Source organism: Homo sapiens, chromosome 19, assembly GCF_000001405.40.
Source record: "Homo sapiens chromosome 19, GRCh38.p14 Primary Assembly".
Lineage (NCBI taxonomy): Eukaryota > Metazoa > Chordata > Mammalia > Primates > Hominidae > Homo > Homo sapiens.
In genome coordinates this window covers 50,558,532-50,576,592 of record NC_000019.10, presented here as the reverse complement: position 1 = coordinate 50,576,592, position 18,061 = coordinate 50,558,532, and the positions used below count along the sequence as shown (strand labels likewise).

Genomic DNA, 18,061 nt, shown 5'->3' with positions numbered 1-18,061 from the left:
AAATTAGCCAGGTGTGGTGGCACCTGCCTGTAATCCCCGCTACTCAGAAGGCTGTGGCAGGAGGCTCACTTAAGCCCAGGAGTTGGAGGCTGCAGTGAGCTATGATTGTGCCACTGCACTCCAGCTTAAGCAAAAAAGTGAGACCCCCACTCCCAAAAAAAAAAAAAAAGAAAAAAGAAATGTTGCAAACCAGGATCCAAGCAAGGCTCAAGCACTGCATGTGGTGGTTGTATCTCCTTAATCTATTTTAACTTAGAGCAACCACTCCAGCCAGTTTCTCTGCCCCATCATGGGGACTTTTTGGAGGGACCAGGCTGGTTGTCTCCTAGAATGCCCCACATTCTAGATTTGCCTGATTGTTCCTTCGCAGTGTCTTCCAGCTTGTTTCTCTCTCCTAATTCCTGTAGATGGACAAGAGAGCTCGTGCAGAGGATCCCCCACATTCTCAGTTCACAGCACCTCAGTCATTTTCTCATGGTGTCCCTGACCCAAAAAGAAATACGTGGTGGCCGTTATTAAGCAGTTATGTTCACACAACTTAAGAAGTATTATGTTCTAGCAACTTAGCACCAGTTGAAAAAGTAATGCACACAAATTGAAAGAAAAAATATTGTATTTCATCCTTTTTTTTTTTTAATTGATACAGAGTCTTGCTTTGTCACCCAGCCTGGAGTGCAGTGGTGCAATCTCGGCTCACTGTAACCTCCGCCTCTGGGGTCCAAGTGATCCTCCTGCTTCAGGCACCAGAGTAGCTGAGGCTGCAGGCGTGCGCCACCACGCCTGGCTACTTTTTGTATTTTTAGTAGAGACGGGGTTTCACCAACGGGTTTTGCCATGTTGGCCAGGCTTGTCTCGAACTCCTGGTCTCAAATGATCTGCCCCCCTTGGCCTCCCAAAGTGCTGGGATTATAGGCATGAGCCACCGTGCCCGGCCTTTATTTCAGTCTTAAAGGGCACTGATTACTTACTAAAAGGGTATACGCACCTGTTGGGCACTGTACAACCTATCACACTTTGGAATCAGATTGGACACTACCACCCTCCTTTCCTGTTCCACAAACAGGTAGTGGTTGCTTTTAATCATGGAACTGCCAAAAACTCAGCTTTACAGAGATAATATCATCCCCCAAATGTAGCATAATCTAATGTTGAAACTGTGGACTGTCCCAAGCCATGAGGTCATGGTGGTGTCTGAGAGATGTCAACTATCACTGTGTTTCACTTGAAAAATTTAAAGATGCTGTAACCAGTTGTGTGCTGGAGCCAGCGAATGGTGGCTTTGCAAACAGAAGCAAAAAAAATACGACTCTTCTCTAGCGAATGTTGAGAACCGGCTGGTAAACGTTTACCTGCATGGCACTGCTGTGGCCTGCTATGAATTTGCTGTAGTCCCCCCAGGGTGTCTTGGCATCTAGTTTGGGAACCATAGGTCTTGGGGCTTAATTAGATTTACTTTAAATGCTCTTGGCAAGAAAACGTCGTAAGTGATGCTCTGTTTTTGTTTTTGTTTTTTCCCAAGACGGAGTCTTGCTCTGTCATCCAGGCTGGAGTGCAGTGGCACGATCTTGGCTCACTGCAACCTCCACCTCCTGGGTTCAAGCAATTCTCCTGCCTCAGCCTCCCGAGTAGCTGGAACTACCGGTGCATGCCACCACGCCTGGCTAATTTTTGTATTTTTAGTAGAGATGGGATTTTGCCATGTTGGCCAGGCTGGTCTCCAGCTCCTGACCTCAGGCGATCCTCCCACCTCCGCCTCCCAAAGTGCTGGGATTACAGGCGTGAACCACTGCACCCAGCCAGGAAGCTTTCAATCATAGAAGAGGGTGAAAGGCGAGGGGAAGCTGGTATGTCACATGGTGAGAGAAGGAGCAAAAAAGACAGTGAGGAGGGAGGCGCCAGGCCCTTTTTAACAACTAGACCTCAGTGAACTAATAGAGCAAGAACTCATTCATTGCTGCAGGAATGGCACCAAGACATTCATGAGGGGGTCTGCCTCTGGGACCCAGACACCTCCCCCCAGGCCCCACCTCCAACACTGGGGATCACATTTCTAAATCAGATTTGGAAGGGACAAGTATCTAAACTTGGCCAGGTGTGGCTCATGCCTGTAATGCCAGCACTTGGAGTGGCCAAGGCAGGAGGACAGCTTGAGCCCAGGAATTTGAGACCGGCCTGGGCAACATAGTGAGACCCCATCTCTACAAAAAGCTTAAAAATTAGGCATGTGTGGTGGCACATACCTATAGTCCCAGCTACTTGGGAGGCTTAGGTGGGAGGATCACTTGAACCCCTTGGGTCAAGGCTGTGGTAAGCCATGATTGCATCACTGCACTCCAGCCTGGGTGACAGAGTGAGACACCGCCTCAAAAAATAAAAAAAAATAAAAAAATACCCAACTATATCAGGTTAGTCTGAGCCGCCTCACGGCGTAACTACCTCGGGGCAGTCAGTCAGCTCATAGAGCTGCCAAAGGCTGGAGTTAATATTTTAGCAAATAAAACAGAAGCTACATCTTTTTGGCGGCCACAGGCCATTGGGTGAAAAAGTCACAAAAGCCCTCCCGGTTTCAAGGGCTTTTATTTATCAAGGTATACCTCACTGCCAATCAGCACTTTGATGGGATGAGACAGGGGAAAGTGTCAGTCTCATCGTAAGAAGAGCCTGAGGGACGGGGCGATGATTACAGCTATCTTCAGGAAATGTAGCCTGTCACACTGACTCAGGACAAATACAGACGTTCTGGAAACCAGACAAGCGGGCAATAGGGATGTTACCATGCTGTGAGGATGGAGCACCCAGCTCTGTGCTTCTATTTCAGTGGCCACTCATCTCTCCTAACAGTGAGGGTTAGGGTTTGGAATAGAGGCACAGTGTCTTCGTCCATTGGGGCTGCTACAGAAAAATACCTTAGATTGGGTAATTTTATTTATTTATTTATTTTGAGACAGAGTTTTGCTCTGTTGCCCAGGCCGGAGTGCAGTGGCACAATCTTGGCTCACTGCAACCTCCACACCTCCTGGGCTCAAGCAGTTCTCCTGCCTCAGCCTCCTGAGTAGCCAGGATTACAGGCACCTGCCACCATGCCCAGCCAATTTTTGTATTTTTAGTAGAGATGGATGGGGTTTCACCATGTTAGCCAGGCCGGTCTTGAACTCCTGACCTCAAGTGATCCGCCCACCTCGGCCTCCCAAAGTGCTGGGATTACAGGTGTGAACAACCACGCCCAGCCTAGATTGGGTAATTTATAAACAATGGGAATTTTCTCTCACAGTTCTGAAGGCTGCGAATTCTAAGATCAAGGCGCCAGCAGATTCAGTGTCTGGAGAAGAGCTGTTCCTCATAGATGGTGCCTTCTTGCTGTGTCTTCACATAGCAAAAGGGAATATAGCTCACTCAAACTTCTGGGTTTTTTTGTTGTTTTGTTGTTGTTGTTGTTTGAGACAGGATCTCACTCTGTCCCCCAGGCTGGAGTGCAGTGGTGAAATCTCAGCTCACTGGAACCAGCAACTCCCAGGTTCAAGCCATCCTCCCATCTCAGCCTCCTGAGTAGCTGGGACTACAGGCACATGCCACTATACTGGCTAATTTTTTGTATTTTTTATGGGTTTTGCCGTATTACCCAGACTGCTCTCAAACTCTTGGGCTCAAGTGATCCTCCCACCTCGGCCTCCCAAATTGCTGCGATTACAGGTCTGAGCCACTGTGCCTGGCCAAACCTCTGTTATAAAGCCACTAATGCAGCTGAGCGTGGTGGCCCATGGTTGTAATCATAGCACTTTGGGAGGCTGATATGGGTGGATTACCTGAGCTCAGGAGTTCAAGACACCCTAGGCAACGTGGTGAAACCCCATCTCTACTAAAATACAAAAAAAAAAGCTGGGCTTGGTAGCAGGGGCAAGTAGTCCCAGCTACTTGGGAGGTTGAGGCACGAGAACTGCTTGAGCCCGGGAGGCAGAGGTTGCAATGAGCAGAGATCTTGCCACTGCACTCCAGCCTGGGTGACAGCGTGAGACTATCTCCAATAAATAAATAAATAAATAAAGTCACTAATGGCATTCATGAGGGCTCTATCCTTGCAACTTAATCACCTCATAAAGGACCCACCTGTTAATACTGTCACATTGGCAATTAAGTTTCAACATAGGAATTTTGGGGGAACATATTCAGATCATAGCAGTTAGTGATGGTCAGAATTGGGGCTAAGGGCCTGGGTACAGCAGCTCATGCCTGTAAACCCAGAACTTTGGGAGGCTGAGGCAGGCGATCACCTGAAGCCAGGAGTTCAAGACCAGTCTGGCCGACATGGTGAAACCCCCATCTCTACTAAAAATACAAAACTTAGCCGGGCATGGTTGTGCACGCCTGTAGTCCCAGCTACTCGGAGGCTGAGGCACGAGAATGGGAGGTGGAGGTTGCGGTGAGCCAACATCGCACCACTGCACTCCAGCCTGGGTGACAGAGCGAGGCCCTGTCTCAAAAAAAATAAAAAAGGAGAATTGGGGTAAGGCATAAGGCCAAGCAGCTTAGCACCCATGGTGGTGCGAGCCACCTTCCCATAGCTTCCTATCATGGGTGGCAGTCTTGTTATATCACAGCCCAGGTGAAAGGTGCCTGGGAGTTGTCCAGTGCAACTGTGTGGAACTAAATAACAGGAACATCTGAGTGGCTGTGATTCCTTTAGCCATTGTCCCCCATGAGTCCCACTTTGAGAGATTTTTCTGAGCAAACCAAACTACATTAAGTGAAAAGTTCATTCATTTTCCCATATTTTATTTATCAAAGGTATACCAAACTGCCGATCATAGCTTCTGATTGGGGTGAGACAGGCAGTGAACACACTGAGTGGATAATTTTTTTTACAGCCTGAAGCAAAGAAATTTGAAATTTAACCTCTGAAATCCCATCCCGAAGGAAATGTACAACTTCCATTTTTTTTTTGTCTGTTTTTGTTTTTTGGTTTTATTTTTTGAAATGGTGAAAATACCTTTGAGCACTCATTACTGTGGAGGGTCACTGTCCCTGTCTCTTACCTAATACCATTTCTGGGACATCAGAGTCCCCAATCCATGTTGACAACATGAATCAAAACTGAGGATCAGTGTTCCAGTTGCTCAGGACAGTCACCTGAGTGGGAGATTAGAGTTAAGCCTTAGGGCAAGGTTTAGGGGACAGTGGGAAGCGTTAAGATTTGGTTTTGTGTTTGAGCCAAACCTGGGGCCGCATCCTCATCTTTTTCCACTCTGCTTCTCTTCTTCCTCCACGCCACACCTATCTGGCTCCCATCTCTCAAACGGGCCCGGCTTGCTGCCATCTGGGGGCCTCTGCCCCAGGTGCTTGCCCCTGTGCACGCAATGAGCTATCTCCTTATTTTGGCCTCGCCACAAAAGACACCTCCTCCAGGAGGCCTCCCCTGATCACCTCAAGTCTGTCCTCCTGACCGCCCACCAACTTCTCTCCTCCCTAATTGTCCTCTTATTTTCTTCATTGCTCACACTGCTCTTGGAAATAGGACCTTGAGGGGTCAGTTCCACGGGGACAGGGGCTGTCTCCTTACTGTTCTCCGGCCGGGCTCTCAAAGCCCTGAACAGTGCCCGGTGCTGAAGACCCTTGATGAGCTCTGGAGGTTGACGGCAAATCATTTCTCCTTCAGTAAAACAGGGGCAGTCATACCCTCCAGGCAGGGCTGAGACTTAGGCTGCATGGACCAAGAGGGTTCGCTGGTTGTTCAAATATTGGAATACTTCCCTGCTTCTCTAACGGCCCCACCTGACACGGCTTGGCCTCTCACCTGAGACCCTCTTGGTTTGTTTTTTGAGACTGAGTTTCGCTCTGTCACCCAGGCTGGAGTGCAATAACGTGATCTCGGCTCACTGCAACCTCTGGAGGCCTCCCGAGTTCAAGTGATTCTCGTGCCTCAGCCTCCCGAGTAGCTGGGATTACAGGCGCGCACCACCATGCCTGGCTAATTTTTGTATTTTTAGTAGAGATGGGGTTTCACCATGTTGGCCAGGCTGGTCTCGAACTCCCGACCTCAAGTGATCCTCCCGCCTCGGCCTCACAAAGTGCTGGGATTACAGGTGCGAGCCACCATGCCCGGCCGAGACCCTCTTGTAATGAAAGGGTTAACTCAGGGCTCATCAGGGGCCTGCTCTCACCTGTGCCCACCAGGTACCACCATCCCTAGGAGTTGGTACCGCATGGTTGCAGGATTGATGCCACGCTTGTGAGGTGCTGGGCACAGCATCTGGCCTGTGGGAGACCAGGAGGAACCGCGGGCTGCCACCATGTGATTCTGTTTTGCTGGTATCACCATCGGTCCTGGCCTACTCTGTGCTGGACCCTGGTGCACACACACATTCACTGGTCCAGTCTCACGAACTAGACTTGAGCGGCGCCAGGGGCGGGTGAAACCCGAAGCACCACAGCCACCTGCCACTCCCTGGCCCTCGCCCAGCCCCTTCTCAGTTTCCCCTCTCGGCAGCTCTCAGGGCTCAGCACCCACCAGCGCCCACCCAAAACCGCCTCTTCCGAACCCATCTGTGACCTGGCTTCTCTCGGGAACCCTGGCTCATTATAGATGTGTCTGGCCCACTTTCCTTCCAGCTTCCAACCCTGACTCTCCCCAGGCTCTGCCTGCAGGGGTACAGCCACACTTTCCCTCCCTGGGGCTCTCCGAGGAGAAGGGGAAGAGGGAGAGTCTGTCCCGGGTCCCCTGGCACTGAAAGAAGGAACCTTCATCTTTCTTCTCTCTCTCCTGAGTCCTCAGTTATTAGTCAGCGTTTTGGGGGATAACAAGGCAGGGGTGAAACTTCTGTGCTAATTTTAACATCTGGAAGGATCTTCAGTGTCCTGGACAGGGGCCACCCCTCCTTCTGGGTTTCTCCGCCCCTGATTCCCGATGTCCCCCTTCCTTGGGGCCCAAGCTTTTGGGGTAGTGGACCGGGGAGGTAGAGGGGAGGGTCACGGTGACCTCCCAGAGGCCTCTGCATCTGCCCTCCCCCTCCCTGCACCCAAGATGCAGCTCAGCTTCACAGCTCTAAATGCGTCCCCAGCACCCGCTGCCAACACCTGGGGGAGGTGAGAGGAGAGTGAGTAGGGAGGCTGCAGGCTGTGCCCTCTGCCCCTCCCAGGTGCCTCCACCTGCCAAGTCTGGACCAGGGACGAAAGCTAGGAACTGACCCATTCTCCATCTCCCTCAGGGTACCCCCAGCCCAAGACTGCATTCAAACCCCATCCTGGCTCCTCCAAGAGCTCAGTGGTCTCTTCTGGAAAATGGGTTTGAAGGTTCTTCTCTTCATGAGGTGGAGGGGCGGACGAAGCGGGCATACAGCGGAGTTCAAGAAAGGCCCTCTGTCCCCTCCCCCACTCTGTCTACTCCCCGGGCTCTTGCCACCCAGTCTTGGGCCCTCAAAGCTCCAGCTCCCCAGCTTCTCTCCTCTCCCCCGAGATCTTTCTCCTCCCCCCTCCCCCCGACGGGTCCTTCCCTCCCTCTTCCATCCTCTCATCTCTGTCCCACTTAGATCCTCCTGCCTCTTCCGGGTCCTGCCAGCTTCCCCTGCTCTTCCTGACAACGCACACCGCACCCCCCATTCTTCTCCCCACAGCCCCCGCCGCCCTCCAGGCCCCTCTGTCCCCTGCAGCCCTCAAAGTTAGGCCTTCCCTACCTCCTCTTTCCCCTCACTTCCCTGCCCCTGGGCCTCTCCTGCCCATCTCTCTACCCATCTCCCCCTCCACTCCTCCTCTCCCTCCTTTCCTCTTCCTCTACCCACTCCCCCTGCCCCCCGCCCTCCCCTCCCCTTCATCCAGGACCTTATTGCAGGAGTTACCCCCTCCTCTCCCCTCCCCTCCCACACCCTCTCCCCTTTCCCTCCTCTCTCCCCTGCTCCTCCCCTTTTTCTCCCCCTCTTCTTTCTTCCACCCCCTTCCCACTTCCTTCCTTCTTTCCTCCCCTTCCCTCTTCTTTCCTCCCCCCCTTCCCCTTCCCTCCCGTCTCCCTCTCCTTTCTTCCCTCCCTCTCCCATCCTCTCCGGTTCTTCCCCCCTCTTTCCTTCCTCCCTCTCCACGCTGCCCTCCCTCCCCTCCCTCTCTCCCCCCTTCCTCTCCTCCCGGGCCTCCCTCCCTGCTCCCTCCCTCCGCCCGCCCGCTCCCACCATCATCAGTATTCCGCTCCCGTCTCCGCCGCTCTCGGCTGCTCTCGGTCGCTGCCGCACCGTCCGAGGCGGGGGCCGGGGCCGGGGCCGGGGCCTGGGGGGGGGTGGGGTGGGGGGAGAGCGGCGCCGGCGGGCCCGAGGAGGGAGGAAGGAAGGAAGGAAGGCTGGAAGGAAGGAAGCCAGGAAAGAAAGAAGGAAAGAAAGGAAGGCAAGAAGGAAGGCGGGCGGCGGGCGAGGGCGCGGGGCCGGACGGCAGGCGGGCGCGAGGCGAGGAGGCAGAGCGGCCCCCCCAGCCCCACCGCCGCCGCTGCGGAAGCCCCCTCCCCACCCAGGAGCCGGGGAGGGGGGAGAGCGCGAGAGGCTCCAGGCCCGGCCGCAGCCCCGCCCCCCGCGCCTCCCCGCAGCGGGCCTTGCACCCCAAATTCCTGAGCCTCATTGGGGGGGTCCTCCCCCCACGGGCCGGGCATGCTGCCCCCCGGAAGGAACCCCTCTCCTCGCTGTGAGTAGCCGCCAAGGGGCACGGGTCGGGGGCGGGGGCCGGAGGCGGAACCGCGGGGGGTGGGTGGGGGGCATTCGCTAATTGGGGGACAGTGGTCTTAGGCCTCCTCCGGGATGGGGGGGGATGGCAGAGGACAGGGGGCGGGGCCTAATGGGAGGCAGAAGCCGGTGGGGGAGGCGACTGGGTGGGGGTTCTCCGGGCAGGGCGAGTTCTGTGCTGTGGGGGGGGTGGTTGTCGCCGCTGCCTGGGGACAGGTTGTGGGGGGTGCGTCCGGCGGTCGCTGCGTATCCAGCTGTGGGGCTGAGGAAGTAGGCTTAGGGTGGGGGGCTCTCCGGGCGTAGGTCCGGGCCCCCCTTTCTGGGGCGGGAGTCCAGGTTCTTCCTCTCCCCATGGCCCCTCCCACCCTCCACACCGCTGCTGCTTGGGGTGGGGGGGGCACGCCAGTGATGGGGAGGGGGGAGAGGCGGGCACGGGGTTTCCTTGGTGACCGCGCCTGGCAAGAGCGGTTGCCGTGGCAACCGGGGAGAACCGGGGAGTTTGGGAAGTGAAAATGGGAAAGACGGAGGGGGTGATTGGGGAGTGAGACAACCCCCTCCCCAGTCTTCAGCCCTTCTCCCTCTGGGGTCACCCCGCCTCTCCTGGTGGGCGGCTCGGACCCCTGCCCCTCCGTCTCTCCAAGACCCCCGTTCCCTGACCCCACTAGGCTTTGGGGCCTTCTATCCTTGGGCACGTGTCTCTCCAGGACCACTGCCTCTCCCACCTCCCTCCGCCCTCCCCTCCTGGAAACCTCTCCTCCTGGAGACCCCCGCCCCCCATTTGCTGCCTCCTCCCCAGGCTTCCGACCCTCACACCTGCTCTTCTAGGACCTTCTAAGACACGGCATCTGCTCCTCAGCCTTCTCTAACCCCCATCTCTGACAATCCCCCAGATATCCCTCTCCAGACCTTCTGTCCAGGAGACCCTCACTTCAGCCGCCCTCTCCTCTAGCTCCCTCCTCCCACTCCCTCCCCGCCCCTCTTTGGGCCTTGCACCCCAGCCTCTCCCCTTTCTCCCCAACACCCCCAGTCGCCTTCTCCTTAGCCCATCACTCTCTGAAACATCCTTCTATGACCTTTCATCACCCAGAGACCCCCTCCATCGTTGTCTCCTCACCCCATAGTACTCCCCAGTCTCAGACCCCCCCAATCCTAGCTCTCTCCTTTTGGGAGCCTCTCCTTCCAACTCACCATCAATCCCGGGCTCTCAGGGTTCCCCCCATCTCTATGCCCCTGCCTCCCTGGGGTCCTGTCCTGCCAGGGGCCCAGCCAGTCTCTCTCCAGGACTCGAGTCTCCAGAGCCCAGGATGGCCTCTTGCCCACCCCTCCACCCCTTCGCCTCCTCTCTGCACCCCCATCTCCTTCCCCAGACCTCCTCACCTCTGCTCTCCTCCTAGGCGCCCTCCCCTCCTCCCTGCCCCCTCCCCGCAGCCTCTGGTGACTTTCTGTCGGGGTGGGGAATTCCCCTGGGGAGAGCCCAGCTGGGAAGGGGGAGGGGGAAGGGAGCCTCGGGGCTGCCCCTCGGCCCCCTCCCCGCCCCCCTCTCCAGCTGGGAGCTGCAGTGGCGCCTCCGCAGCGCCCCATTGCTATGCGCCTCACATCCCAAGTCCCGGCCGCGCAGCCGCCAGACAGGAACTCGGGCTCCAGGCAGCTGGGAGTAGCCGGAGCCGGCTTCCCTCCTGGTCCAGGAGCCTGAAAACTCCCGCCCCCCACCCCCGGACCGCGGCCAGGACCGCACCTCCCTCTTCCTGTAGCATCTTCCGCAGCCTTCGCCTTCTAACCTGCCTTTCCGCAGCCTCCACTTCGCCTTCCCACCTTCCTCCTCCTCCTCCTCCCTGGGGCTCCTCTCCTCCTGGCCACCGGATTGTCCAAACGCACACAGAGAAATGAGGGACAGAGAGTGAAGCCGCCGAAAGGCGGGGAGAGAGACCCAAGGAAGGGAAGAGTGGGAGCCAGGGAGGGAGGCACAGAGGGAGAGAAGGGACCCAGCCTCCGAAACACACATACAGGCAATTAGGGCATCAGCACGGAGTCACGGAGTTACTCACTTAATTTCCGAAAGAAAGAGTCGGGGAGCCGGGGACACACGCCACTCCCACCCAGAGAGCAGACACGCGGGTGAGGCAGAGACGCAGGGAGCCACAGACTCAGGGAGGGTGGGACAGACCCGCGGGGTGCCTGCTGGGGCCAGCAGGGAGCCGGGGGACACTGGCCACCAGAGTTCTGGGGGATTAGAGGCCGCTTCTGACTTGTCAGAGGGACCCCAAGTCAGCAAGTCAGCGACAGAGAGTGGGAGCGTGCGAGGAAGACACGGGGCACGTGGAGGCAAAGATTCCCCTGGCAGGTACACACACACACACACACACACACACACACACACACGAGAGCACACAGTCATTCACTGGCAGCCAGAGACCCCGATATGGAACCAGAGAGGCCCAGTTGCAGACGCAGCCCCCACACTCAGTCAGCCAGTGGTCAGGAGAGACAGGGAGCAGTCCCCAGACCTGTAGTCGTGTGTCACACAGAGACACACACAGTCCTTCGTACACAGACCTGGAGGGAGAGACAAAGGCAGGAGGCCCTTGCCTTGTGGTCCTGTGGCCTCGTGGCCTCACGCCTACGGACAGACACAAGGCAAAAGGCACGGAGGTGGCCCCAGAGCTACAGAGATGCAGCCCCAGGTGCCGCTAAGACAGTCACAGAGCTGTGCACTGTGGCGCACACACCAAACCGAGTGCCAGCGTCGGAGGCACGTGTGTGCACTGCAGGGAGGGCCAGCCCCATCCAGCAGTCACCCTTAATCCCACTCAGAGACAGCCCTGAGAGTGTTCCTCTCGCCACGGGGCTCCTCAGGGACCTCCTCGCCGTCCGAGAGGTCAGCAGAATTAAGACATCAGGTATCAGAGGGCGCTGGCATCTCTCACAAGCAGAGCCTGTGCACACATGTGCCTGCACACACACCCTCAGGGCCCATGCAGAGAGGCCGATCTTCAGGCAGAGGTGCTGTGGGTTGGGGATTGGGGGCGGGGGTGGCCGCTGAATCCTCAGTCCCTTCCGGAACCCTGGCCCTGCTTTCTTGCCAGGGTCCCCACCCCCTCAATCACCTGTCTCACCTGCTAGGACACCTGCTGTGTAGCTCACACTGGTTCTCTCTCTCCATCCTCTCTCCCTGCATTTCATCCCTTCTCACCCCACTCTCTCTGGCCGGGCATCTGTCTCGAGGTGTCACCTGGACCTCCTGTCTCTGTCAAGCCGTCTCGCCTCTCCATCTCCCCTCATCTTCCCTGGGACTGACCCTTTGCCCTCCCAGCCCCCAATGTCTTGCTGACCTGGCCCATCCGTCTAGTCTGTGGACTCATTCATCAGTCTTTCCCTCTCCCACCCCATCTGCTGTGAAACCTGCCTCTATTTCTGTCTCTGCTCGACACCGCTCTCTGTGCCTCCCTTCTTTGTCCCTCTGTGTCACTCGCCCTCACCTCTGCTGCTGTTCCTGCCAGCCTGTCTGCCTCCCCGCCTCCCCTGCTCCTTCCCCGTGGCTCCCTCTCCCCACATCCCTGAGGACTCACTTACCTGGGGTCCTCCGGGCGGCCCAAGAGGGTTATTTTCCCCCAGTGCTTTCAACATGTTTAATTTGTTGCCAACATTTTTTAAATTAGAGATTTTGCATAAAAATCTAGACTGTCAGCTTTTGGAATCGTCTTCCCCCTGGATAACTGTGGGTTGTGCTCAGGTGCAAAGGGCCACCACTCCCCACTCTCCCCTCTAACCAGCATCGGGATCATCTTCCCTGCTGGGCTCCATAGACAGAGGAGTTTGCAACCTCTGCTGTTTGCTCCTCTTCCTCTCTGCTCCATCTCTTTGTGCCCTGTCACCCTCTCCACTCTCCTTCCCTTGGTTTCCCTTGCCGGGTCCTCTCTCTGCCCCTCCTCCTTCATCCCCCCATCAGTTTGCCCTAACTCCAAGCCTCACTTTGACTGGGCCCTGTTTCCACTTAAATGGCCTCCTTCCCTTGCCGAGAGCAGGAAGAGTCTTATCCTTCTCTGGGAGAAGTGGTTCTTAAGACTGCCAGGACGCAGAGCACACGCCCATTCTCCAGGACCAGGATCTGCTGTGAAACTGCCAGCCCCTCACAGTGTTGGAAAGTCAGCGTTGCGTGAAGGCACCATGTTGCAGCCTGTCCTTCTCAGCTGGCTGATGGCTGGGGTGGGCCACAGACCCCACACTCTTGTCCCCAGCATGTGGCATCACAGCCCGTAGGCAGGGGGTGGGCTTCTCTGTACACCAGGCTGCACATTTGGCCCCAGAGCAGGTGGAGAGCAGGGGCTGCCTTAGAGGACCTGGGATGCGGACGCTGTTTCTGGAGGGAGGGCCTCACCTCCAGATAGGGGTGCAAAGGACAGGGCTCCCCTCTGTGCCTGGCAGCGCTCAAGCCCAGCAGCATCCCCTCCACCATCACCCTTGCTGGGTGAAGGGGGCACGTCTTTGTGTCCTCTCTGGTGGGGTACGGGAAACCTCATTAACTCTGAGTTTGGAGACCCTTTGTCCCCACTGGGGAGAACCTCCCTTCCCTTCGAGTCCCAGTTCCTGAGGCTGGGCTGGCTCCGCCAGACAGGGGGTGGCAGGAGAGTAAGGAGAGTGGCAGGATGCCCCTTGTTGCCTGGAAACCCACGCGCAACTGTTGTCATGGCAGGCAGAGGTGGAGGGGCTGCCTTGGAGACCCACGAGAGGGGCTGATGGGGGCTCACTGCGGGAGGCAGGCGGGAGCCCAGGGGACTGCTGTTTCCCCAGGAGGGCTGCTGAGAGTGAGAATGGGGGGTGTCTGGTAGTATCTGGGATCCTGGTGGGAGGTTGAGAGACCTAGACAGAGACAGGCCAGGCATGGTGGCTCACGCCGTCTCAACACTTTGGGAGGCTGAGGCGGGTGGATCACCTGAGGTCGGGAGTTTGAGACCAGCCTGGCCAACATGGTGAAACCCCGTCTCTACCAAAAATACAAAATCAGCCAGGTGTGGTGGTGTGAGTCTGTAATCCCAGCTACTCAGGGGGCCGAGGCAGGAGAATCGCTTGAACCCGGGAGGCAGAGGTTGCAGTGAGCCGAGATCATGCCCATTGTACTCCAGCCTAGACGACAAGAGCAAAACTCCATCGCCAAAAAAAAAAAAACAAAAAAAAAAACCCTGGATGGAGAGGAGGAAGAGAGTGAGGCAGGGCAGGAGGGGGCAGCAGCCCCAGCCACTCCCAGGCTCACTGTGCCCCCCAGATGCTGCCCCAGCCCAGGGAGTTGAGCTTAGGCCCCAGAGTTCTTGTTCAAACACTACAACAAAGGTCAGAAGGCTGTGCAGCCACAGCTCCACTGCAGAGGCCAGCCCCAGGGGGTAAACGCAGAGGAGATTGGCCCTCCCCTTGCCTCAAACCCTCTCTCCAGAGCTGGAGATGACCATGATCGTAGCTAACTGATTGAGAGCATGCCACGAGCCAGGCTCAGTGCTCAGTCTCTTATGTGGATTTTTTCCGTGTATTCCTCAGGCAACCCTGCAAGGAGGCACAGTCATCATCCCTGGTTTGACAGATGGGGAAACTGAGGCCCAGAGAGGTGGGTCCCTTGCCCAAAATAGTACACCTAGAAATGGCAGAGCCGGGACTCCAAACCCTGGTGTGGGCCGCCCTGCAGGTCGCCTCCCTCCATGAGACTCCCAGTTTACAGAGGGGGAAACTGAGGCCAAGAGAGGAGAATGCACTGGTCCATTGGGCCCTAAAAGTGGAAATTCAATTTTTTTTTTTTTTTTTTGAGACAGGGTCTCACTCTGTCACCCAGGCTAGAGTGCAGTGGCGCGATCTCGGCTCACTGCAACCTCTGCCTCCTGGGTTCAAGCAATTCTCCTGCCTCAGGCTCCTGAGTAGCTGAGACTACAGGCACGCATCACTACTACACCTGGCTTATTTATTTATTTATTTATTTATTTGTATTTTATGGTAGAGACACCGTTTCACTGTGTTGGCTAGGCTGGTCTCAAATTCCTGACCTCAAGTGACCCACCTGCCTCAGCCTCCCAAAGTGCTGGGATTACAGGTGTGAGCCACTGCACTCGGCCATAAAATTGTTAATAATCACAATAATTAGGTTGTTAATAACAATACACTCATAGAAGGTTAGACTTTTGGAGTTGGGGGAGAACAGGGTCTTGCTCCGTTACCCATGCTGAAGTGCAGGGGCACAACCACAGCTCACTGCAGCCTTGACCTCCTGGGCTCAAGCGATCCTCCCGCCTCAGCCTCCCAAGTAGCAGGGATTACAGGCGTGCACCACCACACCCAGCTAATTTTTGTATTTTTTGTAGAGAGGGGGTTCTCACTATGTTGCCCAGGCTGGTCTGGAATTCCTGAGCTCATGCGATCCTCTTGCCTTGGCCTCCCAAAGTGCTGGGATTACAGGCATGAGCCACCACGGCCAACAAGTCTAGACTTTTGAAGGCATTGAAGCTGCTATAACTTAGGGGCTGTCAGGTTCTCAATCTTGTTTATGCCTCTCAAGCACCAGAAGGGAAAGGACTCCCCATGCTGATTCTCACAGTAGAGAATCAGCCCTCACCGACGTGGGGGTTGTAGGATCTTGTTGCGGGAAGGGCAAAGACCCCAAATGTGATCCCATGGGCCCCCCACTCCTTGACAGATGAGTGGTTTTGATCCAGCCAGAAATGCTGGATTTACAATGGCAGAGAAGTGGCGGGGTTGGGTGGGGAGGGGGCTGAGTCATGGAATGGGAAAACTGTTTGTTCTTCTGACCCGTAAGAATAAATACCGTTTTTTGTTTTTTTAAGACGGAGTCTCACTCTGTCACCCAGGCTGGAGTGCAGTGGTGCTATCTTCGCTCACTGCAACCTCCACCTCCCAGGTTCAAGCGATTCTCCTGTCTCAACCTCTTGAGTAGCTGGGATTACAGGCACGCACCACAGCGCCTGGCTAATTTTTTGTATTTTTAGTAGAGACGGGGGTTTCACTGTGTTGGCCGGCCTGGTCTTGAACTCCTGACCTCAAGCGATCCGCCCGTCTCGGCCTCCCAAAGTGCTGGGATTACAGGCGTGAGCCACTGCACCCGGCCGAGAATAAATGATAACTTTTAATGTAGCTGTCACTTAAGTGTCAAGCACTGTACATGGTCTCCAGGAACCCCAACAAGCTATTAATAGGTGTCATTATCTTCACAGACTGCAAGGCGGAGCCTGGGGCGGGGGACACAGGGAGAAAGTGGCCAGCCAGAGTTTCAACCCAGTTTTCCTCAACACCAACACTCTTTCCACCTCTCCATCCTTCCTCTTCACAGGACGGTGTGATGAGGTAGACGAGGAGAAGGAGGATCTTCTGGATCCTGGAATAAGTTCACTGAGCATTTTCCTTTTATGCCCCAGGCATTTCCCTAAACTCATCACAGATATCAGACCTTCCCCACCTACAGGTGAGCAGACCGAGGTCCTGAGGGGTGAAGCTCCCTTTGCAAGCCAACATGGCTAGTAACTGTGGCAGCTGAGGTTCAAACCCAGGTCTAGTTGATTCCAAGGCCCACCTTGAGCTACACCCCTATACAGAGCTCCGGAGAGGAGAGGAGGGGGCTTCATTCTTCATCCCGAAATGGAATATAGGAGTGAGATGGGCACTTAGAGACCCTTCAGCCCCTTGCTGTGAGACCTGCATCCCCTGGGAAACAGAATGACAGCCTCACCCTAGATATGGCGATGCAGAATCTGCAGTTTTTTGTTATTGTTATTGTTATTTTGAGACAGAATCTCACTCTGTCACCGAGGCTGGAGTACAGTGGTGCGATCTCGGCTCACTGCAACCTCCGCCTCCCAGGTTCAAGTGATTCTCCTGCCTCAGCCTCCCGAGTAGCTGGAACTACAGGCAGGTGCCTCCACGCCCAGCTAATTTTTGTATTTTTATTAGAGACAGGGTTTCACCATGTTGGTCAGGCTGGTGTCAAAACTCCTGACCTCAAGTGATCTGCCCGCCTCAGCCTCCCAGAGTGCTGGGATTACAGGCGTGAGCCACTGCGCCCGGCCAGAATCTGCCTCTTAACAAGATTCCCAGACAGCTGGACACACATTCATGTCTGAGAAGCATTGCTCCAGTTCACATAGTTTTCAGCTTTTTATGACTTTTAGCAGCACCCTTTTGTTGTAAACAAAATAACTATGCACAACCCTGTGAGAGAAAACAGATCGGATCAGCGTCCTTCCTAGGCAGGACCCCTATGAGTGGAGCTGGCGGGGGCCACGCCCCTCCCAACCTGCAAACTCGCTCTCACGCCCCACTGCCTGAGCCTTGGCAACAAATACTGTTGTAAAAACCACCAATGCCAGGCCAGGGCCCAGTTCTCTTCTGGGGTGAATTCAGTTCAGGGGTGTTAAGCCGCCCCATCCCAGCACAGAATCACAGTCCAGGGACCTGGAAGTTCAGTTTTTTTTCTTTCCTTTTTTTCAGACAGAGTCTCGCTCTGTTGCCCAGGTTGGAGTGCAGTGGCGCCATCTCAGCTCACTGCAACCTCTGCCTCCTCGGTTCAAGTAATTCCCCTTTCTCAGCCTCCCCAGTAGCTGGGATTATGGACGCCCGCCACCAGGCACGGCTAATTTTGTATTTTTAGTAGAGGTGGAATTTCAGCATGTTGGTCAGGCTGGTCTCAAACTCCTGACCTCAGGTAATCCGCCCACCTTGGCCTCCCAAAGTGCTGGGATTACAGGCGTGAGCCACCACCCCCGGCCCTCTTTTCTTTTTCTTTTTCTTTTTCTTTTTTTTTGGAAGTTCAGTTTTTATCTCAAAGCCTACCCAAATCTGGCTATCCATGGGTATGGCAGTGCCTCAGTGTGCCCTTCTGTAAAATGGGCAGCAGCAGCTCTCGCCATGGGCCCCTTGCGGGGACTGAATGAGCTCTTGCAGGCAGCTCCCGCAGCGCAGGCCTGGCACAGGCAACCAAGGCAGCGCTGGTCAGGTGCTCAGGCCTCAGACTCTCCATAACATTCCATTTCTCCAGCTGTGATCTCCCTGGCTTCTCCATGAGTCCCATAAGAGCCCTGTGAGGTAGCTGGGCAGGGCCAAGGAGCAGACGGAGCGGCACTTCAGGGACTCAGGCAGAAGCAGTTCCAAGCAGGATCAGTGGTTAGATCCATGCTGTCCAACACAGTAGCTGCCACAGCCACTGCCATGCATGAGCAGCAACAGTCACATCAAGTCGAATGAAGAATTCAGTCCCTGCTCCTTCTCGACATACGTCACGTGCTCCGTAGCCTCGTGTGGCTGGTGGCCACCAGTGCTGGACAGCACGGAGAGAACATTTGCATCATTGCAGAGAGTCTGTTTGACAGTGATGCATTGATATATTGAAA

General features: G+C 55.6%; 1 protein-coding gene across 2 annotated transcripts in view; it reads left to right on the top strand.

Moving 5' to 3' along the window:
* Nucleotides 1-8,157: 8,157 nt before the first annotated feature.
* LRRC4B (leucine rich repeat containing 4B) overlaps nt 8,158-18,061 on the top strand; it is a 51,544-nt gene continuing 41,640 nt past the window's right edge. For both annotated transcript variants that reach the window (NM_001080457.2, XM_006723506.4), the window contains exon 1: nt 8,158-8,649. The gene's annotated coding sequence lies outside the window, so the exon portion shown is untranslated. The remainder of the gene's footprint in view (nt 8,650-18,061) is intronic.